The 16,873-nt window shown below is 38.9% G+C and overlaps 1 protein-coding gene and 1 long non-coding RNA gene across 10 annotated transcripts in view, besides 2 other annotated features; one reads left to right on the forward strand and one right to left on the reverse strand.

Annotated features, from left to right (window-relative positions):
• The window catches only part of CTTNBP2 (cortactin binding protein 2), a 162,791-nt gene that overhangs the window by 4,224 nt on the left and 141,694 nt on the right, over positions 1-16,873 (reverse strand). For 7 of the 9 annotated variants that reach the window (NM_001363351.1, NM_033427.3, XM_024446964.2 and 4 more), the window contains exons 17-22: positions 13,215-13,393; positions 10,178-10,383; positions 9,673-9,858; positions 6,193-6,256; positions 4,630-4,762; positions 3,144-3,245 (exon numbers count right to left, since the gene is read on the reverse strand). In NM_001363351.1, coding sequence (NP_001350280.1) covers positions 3,144-3,245; positions 4,630-4,762; positions 6,193-6,256; positions 9,673-9,858; positions 10,178-10,383; positions 13,215-13,393 — 870 coding nt within the window. Of the gene's footprint in view, positions 1-1,094; positions 2,610-3,143; positions 3,246-4,629; positions 4,763-6,192; positions 6,257-9,672; positions 9,859-10,177; positions 10,384-13,214; positions 13,394-16,873 lie in introns of those variants that run through there. The other 2 variants (XM_017012706.3, XM_047420933.1) reach the window with 2 other exon arrangements.
• Positions 472-1,551: an enhancer blocking element, noted in NCBI's record as "candidate insulator 7-1-1; CTCF association and DNase I hypersensitivity in multiple cell types". NCBI's record gives its function as "blocks activity of the beta-globin HS2 enhancer when located between the enhancer and the Agamma-globin gene promoter in a lentiviral reporter assay in K562 erythroleukemia cells {active_cell/tissue: K562}" and the evidence as "EXISTENCE:reporter gene assay evidence [ECO:0000049][PMID:24098520]".
• Positions 721-1,520: a DNaseI hypersensitive site, noted in NCBI's record as "DHS+48.9kb, or +48.9 kb or Ubiq DHS observed in multiple cell types; the nucleotide coordinates are approximate for this feature". NCBI's record gives the evidence for it as "EXISTENCE:in vivo cleavage assay evidence [ECO:0001075][PMID:19897727, PMID:21895967, PMID:22955617]".
• On the forward strand, positions 1,009-15,151 carry LOC105375469 (uncharacterized). The gene is made up of 3 exons (XR_927902.3): positions 1,009-1,097; positions 14,557-14,778; positions 14,866-15,151. It is a non-coding gene; the product is annotated as an uncharacterized LOC105375469 (long non-coding RNA).

Genomic DNA, 16,873 nt, shown 5'->3' on the forward strand with positions numbered 1-16,873 from the left:
GGAGTTTAGGAGCAGGAGAGTTACAGGTGTTTAATGCTTCCTGGGCTAAAACCCCCGAATTATCTGTATTAAATGTATAACGTTTACTATCCATATTGCTGTGCATGTTAAACTCAAAAACTAATTTGTGTAGAAAGGCACTGACCTAAAGTAAGTTTTATTTAGCCTTAAAGAATTGGTAAATCAGAGCAATTCATTCAATACACAGCATCTACTAGAAGCTAAGAAGATATTGTAATTCCTCTAGATGGGAAAGTTAGGGGCAGGAGGAAAAGAACAACATGTAGGGAAGGTGGCATTGGGGGTGAGTCTTTAAAGAGGCACAGGACTGTGACGAGAGAAGGTTCTATGGGGAGGAGTACAGAGGGAAGTAGTAAATTACATGTAAAAAAGGAACATGTGAAAAGCTACATGAAGGCATCTCAATCCCTCTAAAGATATATTTGGAAAGAAAGAAATGGGTGGAAAATGAAGATGACAGATCAGGGCTATGTTTTAGAACAGTGGGTCTCAACCCTGGATGCATGTAAGAATCACCAGGGACCTTTAAAAAACCCATTGTCCAGGCTTCCCCTCAGACTAGAGTCCAGGCCCTGAAGTTAAAAAAAAAAAAAAAAAAGAAGCCTCAAGTGGATTTCATCATGCAACCAAAGATGTGAACTTGTCCTTTCAGAGGATTAGTTTGGATTTACATAAAAGGAAAACATTTATTAACATTTGTTCTTCCTGTTGATTTAAATATGTATATTTGTTTTTAATTCAGAAGGCCTGCTAAATGCCACTTGATTAGTAAACCCAATTACTCTCCCTTACTGTTAGAGCAGTGAGGAGTTATATTGTTGCAAATAATAAAGATAACTTACTCATTTTTGTTTTCCAACAGATAATGATGGTTGCAGGGCCCCTCTTCAATGGAGGCATTGCCAGCCTTCTGGCCATGAAGGAGAAAGTGATTTCAACTAACCCAGGAAACTCTTACCTCTAAATGGAGATACTTCCTGATAACAGAAGAAACTGGGCATCTAACCCAGAAATACCAGCTGAGTAGGAGAAGAGAAAAGGCATCAGCCAGTCAAGGTTTCAGAAGGCTGCCAACAGTAAGTACCACTTTGCCCTCTGCTGGCACTTTCTGAGAAAAACATCATCTAGCTCTTGGGGAAGAGTCCCTCCAAATAAGTGTCTTCAGTGGGCAAAGGGAGAGAAGACTAGGAGGCAGCGGTCCTAATTCCCACATCAAATTGCACATTTAAACAATAACATAGTTTTTTTTTCTTTGTATAAGAGCCCAGATAGTATAAAAGGACTCGCTTTAAAAAATATCTTAAACAAAGCTGCCCAGAACTTTGACTTTCAGTACTACTTTTTTTTTGTGGACAGTACCTTATTGTAGCAACTCAATATGGTCATGTGACAGAGAAATAGGGGTATGACAATGTTTGTTTCTTTATTAGACATTTAAGCAGCAGCCATTCTCTATTTTTACACAAGAAAGTGATTTGGGCTTATGGGGAAGGTGGTTCACTGTTCCTCTTGCTAAGATCCTCCTGGCCCCTTCCACTGACGATGTTCCACAAGGAATCCTAAATTCTTGGGTCCTAGAGACTGGCGTCCAGTCAAGCACAGCTCAGAGCAAGCCAATAAATACAGGGGGAGTGAGTTGAGGCTTTAAAGATAGCAAAGGGATGGGCCCTAGACTGTTTTCCAACCAGAAGGCTCAGTGCTGACTCCAGGTCACCTTCTTAGGTCATCCTCCAAATTTTGCTGGGCTTCTAAATTGTTCCCAGTTGAACAAAAAAAGGCAGACATTATGATAGAGTGAGCTTGAAAGCCATGCTTTTCTTCACAGGACATCATGTTAAATATTTTGTATTAGAGCCCCCAGCCGTGTAAATTCCCACTCCCATACCTGCTCTCCCAATGCATGCAGCTCACATAGTTCCACATGTAATAGCCAGGATCAAAACTTAATGAAGCAGTGAGGGAGCGGGGCTGTGGGGCCCAGTGCCGCTAGGTGATCAGATAAAGCTTAATAACTTAATAGTCTCACCATGCTTACTTTATAATCCTGCTCTCTGCGCCCCACCTTCCCACCCACACACAGGTCTTTGCCGTTCTCATCTACTCCCAAGGTGGCTTACAATCAATCAACATGGTTTGGTGAACAAACCATATATTACAAAGTGCTTCTGTGAAGTCTGCATCCTCACAACTAATGAGTGAGACATTTCTCATTGTTTCTGCTCACCCAGGAATACCATGCTGTGCCAGCTCTTGCCATTTATTAACCAACTGATAATGGTGCAGTGCTGTAGTCATGGAAGCTATTTCAAAAGGTTAAGGAAGTCTACTGGAATCCTGGTTCTTCTAGTTGCCATTCAGACTTATTTTTAAAGTCTCATTGAAATGTAATGCATGTTATGGAAAGTCAGGATGAAATAAAATTGAGATTTTTTTTTTTTGCAATGTATAAGACCTTTATGTTATCACTCAGTGCTTTGTTTTGTTATAATTAACTCTAATTTTCTAAAATGCAGGAAACCTTAGGAACAACCAAGATGACAGTTTTGTTACCTTAGTACCCCCGCATCCACAATTTTGTTTTCTGTGATCTGGAAATACACAATTCATAAATTTGCAGGCCATTCTAAGTAGCATGATGAAATCTTGCACCATCCTACTCTGTTCTGCCCTGGATGTGAATCAACTTATTCATTCTGTCTACATTACCCACACACTGACCACTTAGTAGCCCTCTAGGTTATCGGATTGAAGGAATATAGTGTATATAAACTTTGGTACTATCTTAGATTTCAGGCATCACCTGAGGATAAGGCAGAACTACAATATTTCTAGTTTTGTCATATAAAATGAAAAAAAAAAAAACATGGAGATCTCAACAGACACCCAAAATTTTGGAATCAAATTGAAGGGAAAAAAGTAATGCTTTCCTATGTCATTTTTTTCCAAAATATTCTATAAGTACTCTTTCTAAAACCTAATGAACACTTTTACCTTTATCCTATTTCTCAGTTCTTAGCTTTGGTTTAAAAAAATAACTCTGTGATTCACACTGAAAGATGATTTGTGAAGTCAATTCCACAGCAATCATCCTTTGTTCACTTTGGGGAGAAAGGGACACTTACCTTTTGTGACACTGGCATTCTCAGATTATTAATAGTTGCTGAAAGTACAGGGTTGTTTCCAGAACTATCAAACATCCTTAAATCATCCCTGGAATCAGCAATCTAGAAAATACAGAATTTGCCCGGTCATGTCTCCACAGTCACACTGTGCATACTCAAGGCACAGCTAAATGGTGGAGAAATCACAGCAGAAGTGTTACTCTTATCCTCTTCCCTGCCCCTCAAGTCCTGAACTGTTCACATGAAAGAAAGACTTCAAGTCTTAATGTAAAACTGACAGCAAATGCATGAGAAACATCCTCTAAGGAAAAAGAATCCACTTAAAACGTCAAAAGAAGACCAGAAGAACTCTCTAGGGAAAAAAAAGGCACTTTGCAAGTAAAGAAAGGATATAAAATTTGCAAGATTTTAATCATTACCTTACTTTTCCAGTGGATATATACTTTGTTTCCAACAAAGTTAAATAAGAGTGAATTCTACTTTGTCGTAGATATTATGACGATTCAAATAATACAGTTGAGTGTCTCAGGGGAAGCTGAACGTTACAGCCACTCATAAGGCATCTATCAAGGCAGCTCGGTGAAACCTGCTGCAGATACTAGAGTGCCAAAACAGGTTGAACTTGATGCTGTCCATGTTTTCTGTGAGATTTCAGGTCACTGTTTTCCATATTTGGTCTCAAATTTCACAGCTTAGAGATTATGATGATATGCATTATACAAGCTAATTCTTTTTCTCATTTGCAAAGAAAGTTGTTGCTTGGTCTATAACATAAGTCTGCTGTGATGCTTGTTATAATTTTCTTACTGATAGATGACTGATATGCCAAAGTTAGGAATGTGGAAAGGAAAAATATCTGAGGAAACTCAAATTTAGGCTTATATAAAAAGCTGCCCAGGCTGGGTACAGTGGCTCACGCTTGTAATCCCAGCATTTTGGGAGGCTGAGGCGGGCAGGTCACCTGAGGTCAGGAGTTCAAGACCAGCCTGACCAACATGGCGAAACCCTGTCTCTACTAAAAAGTCCAAAAATTAGCCAGGCGTTGTGGGGGACACACCTGTAATCCCAGCTACTTGGGAGGCTGAGGCAGGGAGAACTGCTTGAACCCGGGAGGCGGAGCTTGCAGTGAGCCAAGATCCCGCCACTGCACTCCAGTCTGGGCGACAAGAGCGAAACTCCATCTCCAAAAATAAAAAAGAAAAGCTGCCCAAATGAATTGATGTGACTTGTACTAATGCAATTAACATACAATTTTAACTTCAGGTCTTGGAGGAGTTTGGAAAAGCAGGCTTCACAAAGTAGAGCTCCTTTATTGTATAAATGATATTTAGGAAGAAACGGCCTTTCTAAGCAAGGTGAGGGATGGTTTGATTTGGATCATTAACCATACTATCAATAAGGAATTTCTTTTAGGGAATTGTGGTCCCCCAAAAGTCTCCCAGCTGTTGAGTAGAGCCATTCAATGCCCCCCATTTGTACTGCTCACCTTGCTGATATCAGACTCAGACTTGCTGGAGCACATGCTCTGAAGTTCCTTGACAAGATCTGCTTCGTCATCTGAACCCAGAGAGAGTCTCTGATCCAAATTCAACGTCAGTGATAGATCATTCTCTAAAGACCTAACACAAAGTTCAGAAAAACGTTTTTCAAAGTGAGAACAATTCCCAATTTGGAAATCTAGACACTGTACCTTTTTTGGGATTTGGTGTGGGGTAGGGAAAATGTTTTTAATAGCCTTTAAAGTATTTCATAAATGTCATTTAATGCAAGAAATTTCCACAGGATTTTGGTAACTCCTACTCAAAATTCTTGAGAGGATAAAATTTTGTTTCACAAAGAACTTCACTTTGATGTACAATATTCCAAGCTCCTTATTCTTGCCGTTTCTTGTCTCCCAGGCCAGATAGGATGCTAAACACTGTGGCATAGGGGACAATGTGATAAAATGGGACAAACACGGATTTCAAACTTGGCTCTATTGCTAGCTAGCAATATGACCATGCACCAGGTTTTCTTAACACCTCAGTTCCTGGGTTCCCTTTTCTGTAAATAACCCTTATGTGTACATCCTAGGGTTGCTGGAAAAATGATACAGGCTGTTGCAGGTCATGGATCTAGCTGCGGTCCTGGCAGAAAATAGCGTGCCATGCAGTTTCCTTCATCTCCCTTCTCTCTCTTTACCCTCCCCTCTTCTGTAATGCTGCAAACCAGCGGACATGATCCTAAATGTTACATGCCAAGTGACAGGGCACACAATTTATTGGGCTATCATGGGGACCTATTTACAAACTGCCTAAACATTTCTATAATTGTCCAAATCATCCTTTATACCTTGATATTTGTAAGCTGAAATAGTCTATTTCTTAGGAACAATATAATAAATTATCACTGTAAATTTATAGCACTTAAAAATCACGCCTGTAATCCCAGCACTTTGGGAGGCCTAGGCAGATGGATCACAAGGTCAGGAGTTCGAAACCAGCCAGGCCAACATGGTGAAACGCCGTCTCTACTAAAAATACAAAAATTAGCCAGGCACGGTGGCAGGCACCTGTAATCCCAGCCACACAAGAGGCTGAGGCAGGAGAATTGCTTGAACCTGGAGGTGGAGGTTGCAGTGAACCGAGATCATGCCACTGCACTCCAGCCTGGGCAAGAGAGCAAGACTCTGTCTCCAAAAAAAAGAAAAAAGTCATACTGTTTCTGTAAATCTGTGGAAAAGTCATCTAATGACTATCTAAAAGTTCACAAATGCATAAACAAAATTTGATCAAATGAAACCTATAATATTTCTAACCTTATTCAACAAATTACAAGCAAAATAGTCTTCATATTGCATTATATTAATCTTAACGAACAATTTAGACGTTATCCAAAGACACCATTAGATTTCAGTTTAATATCAGCATTTGAATGACATATATAACTTTTTTAAAACCATATTAACATAATAGTCATTCAAATGAGAACATGGAACATTTAAAATAGTAATTGAAGTTACTTGATTTATCTTTGTTTGCTGTGAGTTAAATTTGAAAGGGGAACTTACTTTTGTTTTGACAGAGAAGCATTCCTGTTACAATTCAGCTGTGATATAGTCTTATTTTTCATACCTGTTAAAAAAGAGAACCATTTTCAATAGATCATTATCCCTGTGCCTCTTGAATTCTGTATTTAAAAGAAACAGACTGTGGACTTTGCAGTACTTTCATACTGTTCTTGGATTAGTATCCAGGATTTGAGGAGATTTTCCCCAGGACAGAGGCTCTGGGCATAGCCTCCTGCAGAGGCACTGTGGGAAAGTCAAGGAATAGCCAACTCCCTCGAGTACATTTTGATGGAACTCGGTACAACTAACACTACCTGAAGCTCAAGTCAAGAATCCTGAATTTCACTTTTATGGATGGCCGTTCTTCTCTTTAGTCAAGTCCCTAGTTCCTTAGGCCCTTGTTCTCAAAGGACCAAAAGAAGATTTTAATACCTGCCTTTTGATGATGGTAATCACCCTTTCTCTACCTTTGTGTGCATTCTAACACTACTATGTAATCAAGTATAGTTTTTGATATGTGGCATTAGCCATGTACTTGTAGAAATTTAACTTTTAACAGCTTTTGCATTATACAGAAGAGAAAATATGAACAGGGTACAAAAAGTCATAGAATTTAAATGCTGAAAATCATATGTTTTTTAAACTGCAGATTATGACACAGTTAAAAAAAGAGAAAATAGCCTGTATTTCTTGCTGGAGGTATACTGATGCATATCAGTTATATATACACACAAATGCAGAGGCTTGTGTGTACAGATCATGGTGTAAAATGTATTTCTCACAATGGGTTATGGTTGAAGTTTGAGAAACACTCTTATAAACCATTTTAGACTCAATGTTATGAATGCATTAAAACAGTTGCTTTTGAGTGAATTCTAAAAATATTAATGTTGTCAACACAAATTTTCTCTAAAGAATGTTTTGGAAAAGTAAATATATCCTCATTAAAAGCAGATCAAAGAAAATCACTGTCGAGTTTCTTTAGTCATACTTCTGTCATTATTGTCCAAAGCACTGACTAGTGGCTTCTACTAATTACTACATAGCGCACAGCCTTGGGCTCTGCCCTAAAAGCCTGGGATCTGACATCATTGGCCTTTCTGTTTTAGGTCAGGAAAGAAATGGGCTGTCTCTTTATCAAATTTGATAAGCTTCCATAGTGATCTGCATGCAAAAGGATTCCTGTGTTGGTTTTTTTTTTTTTTTTAACCAAAGTCACCCCAACCATTGTAATAATCATATATACAGTGTAATTATTGGAAAAATTTACCATTATAAAAATAACGAGAGGCATGTCAGTCATGGTTTCTAACCCAACTACTGACTCATGAATTATATACTTTGTAAAGTTAACTTTTAGAAATTTCCTTGAAGTCAGTGTAAACTCTTGTAGTTTTATTCTGTCAAAGAAGTTCATGCTTCAAAGAATATAACATTTGATATCAAATAGTTCTAAAACTAAAATTATTAAAAATACAAATAATTTCAAGTCTATTCATCTTTTTTTACATTTAAGCGTAATATAGTTTTCTGATCCAGACTCTTCCATGATACTGCTTTAAATTCATATTCATTTTGTTGATTCTGTTTGTCTACTCTAAAGCATATACCAACAATTAAGTTAGCTCAAAAAGTTGGTCTTAAACTTTATAGAGATTCTAATAAACTTAGAAATGACACAGTGAAGAGCCTCAATGGGTGTCCAGTTATCTGAGTACCCATAGATCACTGCACGTCTAATAAGATCAGGGTGTTGTGGACTACAGAAAATAGCACTGGGCTTGCAAGAAACAATTACAGAACCGCATATTTCCAGGAGAGGTGATTTGGAGCAGGTGCCCAAGGGTTTCTGAACCTCAGTTTTATTCTCTGTAAATGGAGATCATTATCATTGTCTTGGAGCTTTCTTGCATACTGAAAGGACTAAGAGCAAATGAAAGGTATAATCCTTGCTACAGAAAGTCATCTGGGGGTCTATACTAAATTGGTGGGCTGGAGTCTAGTGATTCTTACTCCCTAAATCAAACACTCTGACAACTCTGGGAAGTAATAACAAGCTCTTAAGATCAAAACAGTATCTTATTATCAATATAAAATACTGATCTTTTTAAAAGTATAAGAAAATTCATTTTATTCAGTAAATTTTCATTCAGTCACTTAAAAAGGGGTCACAATTTGCTATCATGCACTTAGGGTAATTGGGGAACCCTAGCATATATTGATAGGATTAAAAAAACATTAAATTTTTATTAAAATTAACAAAATACAAGCTTAAAAATGAAAATATACTCATAACTAAAAGCAACTTTATGTTTTTTAAATATAAGATTTTAAGCACCTCATTTAGAAACCCCACTGCTATAAAGTTGGCATAAAATTTCACAAAACAAATACTTTGAGAGAGGAGGAAAATGAATGACATAATCTGAAGTCCACAGTGCACATGAGGTGGAAATTTCTTTTCATTTTTATTCCAATTTGGATTTGTTTTGGGAAAGACATTTATAATTTATATAATAGCTGATTATCTTATTATCAATGCCAAAAGGAATAGGCCTAACACCAGAAGATACAGACGTGTTACATCTTCTTTGTTAGAATGAAAGCTTACATATTTTTCACTTGATGTCCCATCATATGAAATCTGTCCAATTTATTAGAATATAAACTCGATGACGGCAGGATCTTTTTTTTTTTTTTTTTTGAGACACAGTCTTGCTCTGTCACTCAGCCTGGAGTGCAGTGGTGTGATCTCGGCTCACTGCAACCTCTGTGTCGCAGGTTCAAGCAATTCTCATGCCTCAGGCTCCTGAGTAGCTGGGATTACAAGCATGCGCCACCATGCCCAGCTAATTTTTGTATTTTTAGTAGATACAGGGTTTCGCCTTCCTGACCTCAAGCTATCCACTCGTCTTGGTCTCTCTCAGTTCTGGGATTACAGGTATGAGCCACCATGCCTGGCCGGAATATATATATTTTTTACCACTCTATTTCCAGTGCCTAGACTAAAACCCAGCACATGGTACACGTCATACATAAGAAAGAAATGTGTACACCTGATTCACCTGGAAAGGCCTTAAATGGGTATCAAATATGTCTCTACACATATTTTTTTAATGTAAGATTAACTTAGGAGTGACATAATGGAGAAATATGCCAATGATTTTATTATGTAATAATGCAATGATTATACAAATTGTGAACACCAAGAGAAACAAAATAATAAATAAATGACCATTAACAAGTTAAAGATTAATTTTGGAATTCTGGTTTGAAAGCGGTATTTTTCAGGTAGAGATCTCCTGTATATTTTTGGAAATGTACCTACTATATAGTTTATTCCATGAAAATGTGCATTAAAATACTTAAACTTTGTTTTACCAAATGCATCGTGATAAAAATGAAAGCATATTTGCTTTCAGACACTGGATCACGTATGTCCACCTCCTGGTAGGCAACATGCCTACCCCCGCCCTTTACCTTCAGTGCTTAGGTCTGGCTTATTCCAGGTGGGTAAAGAGAAGCGGCCAGACTTCCTGCGAGGACTGGTGTTCACCTTTCTCCAGGCACCACTCTCTCCTTTCTTCTTGTTACAAGTGTTATAACTGGAAACTATGGATAAAGGGAAACTTCCTCCTTTGAAATCAGCTGTATGCTGGTCTAGCTCTGAAACAACACAAATCACAGCAGGGATAATGCAGTTTCACTGATTAAAGCAAAATACATTTCCGTTTCTCAAAGATACGGACTGTTCAAAATAATGCATTTATTTAGTATCCAAGCTGGGGTTTTGTGAACCAGCACCAACTTTACTTGGAGGTCTAGAATTCAAACATTAACCAGTAATTAAAATCACAGTTCTGGAACACTGCTATAAGATGTATATTTTTCTAATTACAAAGAAAGAAAGCTCTCTAAAAACAGCTTTTAAAAGGTATTTCACAAGGGTGTGAATTTCCTCTCCTCTCTGCAGAAACCCACATACCTGCTCTGGGGAGGGGACAGCCATGCAGTACAGCTTTATTTAGCAAGATGCTGAGAGCAGCTTTGACCACAGCCTGCTGTCCTTGGCTAGGGTGTCTTTTAGCAGTTGTCTGCCCAAAGCCAGGTTGTCTTTTCACAGAGGCTCTTGACAATATTGCTTCTTGAACTCTGGGTGCGATGACGCCATTCCACAGCTTAGACATCCACCTAGCAGGAGAGGGACCGATTCATCCCTTAGGAGCAGGCTTCTCAATAATTATACACAATTCCGTGAAAGGACAGTTTGAAGACTATGGGGAAAAAACGTTAAGTGTTTCTATAGATATGCTACCTTTCCCAGGTAGTTTTCAAAGAAGTGAAATTACCCAATACAAAAGTGTTTGAATCTGCCTCAAAAATACACTGTATTTCAAATGAAACTGATTGTTTACATGTCTCTCTCAATGTAGAATCAATGCTTGAGTGCTGAGTGAATAAATGCATGAATAAACACATTGAAAGGAAGGTAAATTTAAAGACTGAAAAAATCTGGAAAAAAGATTTCCTAAAAGTCCATGTCTAAATAGCTTCAACTTCTTTGTTACATCTCCTTAATAAGGTGCACATACATTGTATTGTAATATTTCTGAAATTGGGATACTTTTTTTTTCTTTTTTTGAGACAGTCTCGCTCTGTCACCCAGGCTGGAGTGCCAAGGCGCAATCTCGGCTCACTGCAACCTCTGCCTCTTGGGTTCAAGTGATTCTCGTGCCTCTGCCTTCCAAGTAGCTGGGATTACAGGCGTGTGGCAACAGGCCTGGCTGATTTTTGTACTTTTAGTAGAGATGGGGTTTTCATCATGTTGGCCAGGCTGGTCTCGAACTCCTGACCTCAAGGGATCTGCCTGCCTTGTCCTCCCAAAGTGCTGGGATTGCAGGCATGAGCCACCGCACCCAGCCTGGGATGTATAATCACCGGCAAATTAAATCTGCCTGTCCCAAGGCAAGGGTGCGTGTGGGTGGGCTCAGTTCTATAGGGAGGATGGGGGTCAATCAGCTATCACCTCAGGTGGACTGTTTGCATTAATAGCCATAAACAGTGGGACTGCAGCCCAAATTTGCAGCACTCAATGCCAATTAAAATTCCATCAAAAAAAGATTATGCTTTGTTGCAGTATTAAAAAACACTTATATGATTAAAGGCTATAGAAACAAAACCACATCTCCCAGGTTAGGAATGTTTTCAAAGCTTAGACATTGCATAAAACTTTCAAGAATTGTCAAAAACTATGATCCATCTATTTTAAGTTTCTCTCTTAATGTCTAGTGCTACACAATCGGGGGAAAAATAAAAGTACGAATGGGAACACAGACAAAATTCTGGTATTCTACAGCATGAATCGAAATTATGCAGTTATTCCTAAAAGTGCTGAAGTATAAATATGATAAGCTGTGGTCGGAAAAAAAAAATCAACTCCTTAACTTAGCCATTGGTAGACAATTCTCTGCAGCATTTCTGCACATCTGGTGTCAGGTTTTGTTCTAAACTATCTTTTCAGTCTTGGAAGACAGAGATAAATGTCTCCTTCAGGATCAGAGGGCAGAATTGTTTCCTGATCAGGATAATAAAAACAACATCTTCCAGGGCCAAGGGTCGACAGAGTTGCAGCATCCCTCTTTAGAAACCTTGGAGGGATGGGAAGGGGGGAGTTCCACAGCTGTTGAGGCAAATCCAGCAACCACATGGGCTACTATGTATCACCCTGTGGGGCTTCAGGGATAAAGGGAATCTATGTAAAAGTGAAGCTCAGGCTGCCTGCCTGCTGTGTTGTGGGTGATGAAGTGCTGTGTCCCTAACTCAGCATCCTGAACCATGGCAGGCTAACTTGGTAGCTTGCAAATAGGGTAAAAATCTTGGGACCTCCATAATTCTTGACAAAGACTATATTCCATATAGGAGAGGTCAAAAATGATTCCTAAGAATCTTGAGACTCTGGATGTAAAAAAGACTTTAATTTAACTGACATAATAATGAAGAAAGTGGTAATTATATCAATAAGTGTATTTATTTTGTAGCAAAATTCTAAATATATATTTAATATAGTACTTCTTTCCCACCAATTAGCTGTTATAAAAATGGTGGTTTGTCTTACAATAGAGAAAATATACATATACTTTTTAGAGACAGGGTCTTGCTCTAATACTCAGGCTGGAGTTCGGTGGCTTAATCAAAGCTCACTGCAGTCTTGACCTCCTGGGCTCAATTGATCCTCCTGCCTCAGCCTCCCAACTCAATAGCTGGGACTACAGGTACATGCCACTATGCCTGGCTAATTTTTTTTTTTAAATAGAGATGGGGTCTCACTACGTTGCCTGGGCTGACCTTTAACTCCTGGCCTCAAGTGATCCTCCCCTCTCAACTTCCCAATGATGGGATTATAGGCATGAACCACTACATCCAGCTAAGAAGATATTATTTCTATCCCCTGCTTTCCAAAATAGACTTCTGCCCATGGCACCAGAAACTATAGAATCAAATCTGCTTGCTGGTCACAGAACCATTACTAAACTGGATGGTAACAAATTTTTTCTCATTTCAACTTTCTCCTGATTTTCTATTTCATTAACCTTATTGTATATATGTCTGTTCTCATAAGATGCTTCAAAGGAAAACAGTAAGTACTGAACATATGTCTCAATAAAGGGAAAGCTTTTCAATTCATTAACAGAATGCAGGTTTTTTGGAGGGTGTGCATACAATACTTGATGAAACTTCTTATGTGGTACCTCACTCAGGAGACTCTGCATAGCAAGCCAAACATAACTTGGATGAGAATTTTCTAATAGAGGAAAAACCTAGCTCTCAGCAAAAATGCAGCTGCCCTAGGAAGCACACAGTAGGCAAGCTGTGGCCATCCTCTGAAAGAGCAGAGAGCACTGGCACTCCGTGTCAGTGACAGGAGGTGGCACAAGGCAGCCTGGTCAGCATTCTCACCCTCAAACATCTGAATTGGCCACGTCTCTATCATAAGCAGAAAGATAAGGAAAAATGGCACTTACTTCACTGTCACTTGGGCATGCCCAGGAACTACAGGACAAGACAGGAAATATTTTGGTCCAAGAAGTGCTTCAGGTGTGCCCAAGCGGGCCAGGCAGGAGTTAAGCTGACGCCAGACGGACAGAGCCCAGTCGACAATCTTGCACACAGGATCGCAGGGGGAGGGCGCCTGACCTTTGAACTAGAGAGACAGGGAGGTGGAACCCAGGGGCTTGGTTTAGAACATTTTGTTTTTAGAAGCCCAAAATTAAAAATATAAAACTTTAAATCAAAATTGAAAAGTAGCTGAATCTTATTTAACTTTACTTGGGATGGCTGAAGGAGGGATAATAACACATACTATAGTTGTGCAAACGTGTTAGTGTGATAAGCATTTTTCTCCTTTAATTCTCACCATGAGCCTGAGTTAGGCATTTTTACCCCATTTTACATATCAGGAGCCTGAGGCAGGAAGAAAAAATAACTCGCCCAAGGTCCCACAGGTAATAGTGGCAAAGCCAGGGCTAGAGTCTATTTATATTTTTTATTAAGGTATAATTGACAAAAATTATATATATTTGTGGTATATATCATGATGTTTTGATGTATACATTGTGAAATTATTAAATTAAGCTGACTAACATATCCATCCCTTTACATACTTATTTTTATTTAAGATCTACTCTCAGCAATCTGCAAGTATACATTAACTACATAGGGCTTATCTTTAATAGAAAAATAGGATACAGCATCTCGCTGAAATAATAAAGGAGTCATTTATCACATTTAAAAGGAATTCAGTAATCACTATTAAGCTAAAGAACTTCCTCTTCTTCCTCAGGCTTAACATTTCTGAAGCTCTCTGTTTAAGCCTCACTTTCTACCGTCAGCCAGGGCTGAAAGAACAGGCTTAGCTTTGTGGGCAGCTGACAGAGGGACAGGGATCTCCCCAGCTGCCTCATCAAGACCACATGTAGAGGAAGGGAGAAGGAGGGTAGAGCTCTCATTGTAACTCGGTCCCCAGGGAAACGTTACTTTTTCTGGGAGGACTGAATTATTCTCTTAATGACTGTCTAATAAACTGCTTCTAAAGCTCAGACTGTTAGACATCGTAACGGAATCACATTTCACAGTACCCAAAGGCAGAATGTAATCTGTCTTTCCTAAGGACCTGAACAAACAGGAAGGGTGTCCACCTCTCTCCAAAGTGCAGATGTTGTTTATATGAAATTTCTCCTTTTGCAAGTTGGCTGTATTATGGGAAAAGTGGTTATCGGACAGTACATTAAAAACTGGTGTTTCATTAAAAGGTCTATCCAATAAATAGACTTTCTAGTAACCACATGTTTTTATTTCCTTCCCCAGAGATACATTCCTTCAGTGTTAATGGATAATTTTGCATAGAGGTGTGTATGCCTACTATGTATTCTATGCCTATTTGTTATTGCTGCTAAGAAGAAAAAAATCCATGTAAGTTAGTGTACTCATGAAATACAGAGGAAACAAAAGAAAAGGTGTGAAAAGCTAATGAAGAGCAAGTGGTCAGTTCTGGTGCGGTTTGATGGAGTGGAGAAAGCCACCCACCAGGTACTGCAATTGCCTTCCTTTTTTTTTTCTTTTGAATTTTACCAGCTGGAAAAATGAGGAAATTGAGCCAGGCCCTTTATCTTTCAGATCCCTTCCAGACTGGCAGTCTTGAAGTACAGACAGACACAAGCTGCTATGGTAATTCAAAAGAAGAACTGACTAAATACAGCGTGGTCAAGAAAGACAAATAGATGAGGTGGGGACTTCAGCTGGGTCTCTCACAGGATGTCCAGGACATGGTATTGGTGAGGGGAGGTGGGAAGAGTGTCCCAAATATGGAAGAGGGAAGGAACTGTGGAGGAGCGGTCAAAATGGATGCTGATGTTTGCAAATAACAAAAGGGATGAATAAATGACAGGCTTCTACAAGTAAACAGTCTATGTAACTGTTACTAATTCAAGGTGCTGGATCTGATCCCCCACCTAGTATGTCCCCTGAACGAATGACTTCAAGGCCACGTAGTTGTCCCTGAGTTTTCCACATGCCAACCTCCTCCTCCCTAGGCCTGAGATGTGTTGCAAGTGCTGCTCCTTCTGCCCAGACCCCCTGCTTCCCTATTCTCAGCAAACCCTTCTTCCTTGACATAACAAATTAGCATGACCTGCAAATCCTTCAATGTGACCACAGATAGAGAGGCCTCCACCCCAAATTCCTAAAATAAGTACTCTTCCCAACTTCCGCCCGAGTTTCTATAGTGGTACCTTACCTGTTTCTTTCACAGCACATATTAGCCACCTGTTTAATTAGCATGATTTGAGTGTTGTACCCATGAAGTCGGACAGAATCAGAACTGGGAACACAGAGTTTAATCTGATGTCATTTATCAGATTTGTAGCCCTGCCACTCAAGAAGAGACAAGGCTTAAATAGTTGAATCCAGTCCAGTGGTGAAATAGCATGGGTAAAGGTTACAGATTCAAATACAAGCTGAGAACTAGGTAATGTGTAAACTGAATCTACTCCACTTGGAAGGCACGGACTCAGACGCTTGTACACAGTGACTATTAGTGGGACTCTACTGGTTTTTTTCTTGTTATTGAGGAAAGCCTAAGGCCAGATCACAAGTCCTCAACAAGCCTGGCTGATATACAGACTTGGCCAGCCAAGAAAATAACCCTAAATTTTCATGGAAAGAGAACCCAGGTTTCCTGAGATGGAAAAAATTCGGGGGGATGGGGACAGGGGGTATATTTTTATCTTCATTAATATTCAGAATTAAATATAATCAAACATTATTTTTTCGGTTAGGATGAGAGAATCATATATTGGGTATTTTTAAATACTTGAAATGTTTACAGGAATTTCATATATTAGAATAGCTTCATGTCCAGTTTAAAATGGTAACTGAGTTTAGGGTTGTGGTCTTAAGAAGGGGTAAGAGAATTTTATTAAGTTTATGTACATGGTACAAGGCTATTAAGAGATCATTTGAGCCACAATTTATAAATTTAATTTTCTGGTTTTACAAGAGTTAGTTAAGTACTTGGGAAGATTTGTCAGACAGCAGAAGTTCTTAAAAAGAGAAATAAAATATATTGAAGTTTTAAAGACCAAACTATTTAAAGAAATGTAATTAAGCTATGAGTCCCTTCAAAGGTGATTGTTAAATTTTGCTAGATTTATACACAGAAAGATAAAGCTTATACAATTAACTTAAAAGCCTGAGGGAAAGCCGGGCATTTGGATGTACAACTCTAACACACTGAACACGTTTTTTTAAAATAGCACTTGAATAATGCCTCCTGAATAAAAACTGTCCTCCAAGGTCCCAAATCCTACACAGATAGACAGTTTCTTTTTGAAGGCCTGTCTTTCCATGAGAACACTAGCTCTCTGAGGGTGAGAGGAACCCGGTCTTGTCTCACAGTCCCCAGGCCAGGGGCCAATGTTTACAGAATAACCAGCTAACACTGTTCTGATGCACTTATCACACTGTGTTTTGATGATCAGTTGCCATGGCTATAGGTCCTTTCAACCTTAGTACTGGAGCTTGGTGTGCCACAAAGTGAGGATTTGGAAAATGCTATGACTGACTGACGGGAAGAACAGGCTGAGAAGTTCTAAGTCTGGATGACTGATAACAAAAAAGGAAGTCG

Source organism: Homo sapiens, chromosome 7, assembly GCF_000001405.40.
Source record: "Homo sapiens chromosome 7, GRCh38.p14 Primary Assembly".
NCBI classification, from domain to species: Eukaryota; Metazoa; Chordata; class Mammalia; order Primates; family Hominidae; genus Homo; species Homo sapiens.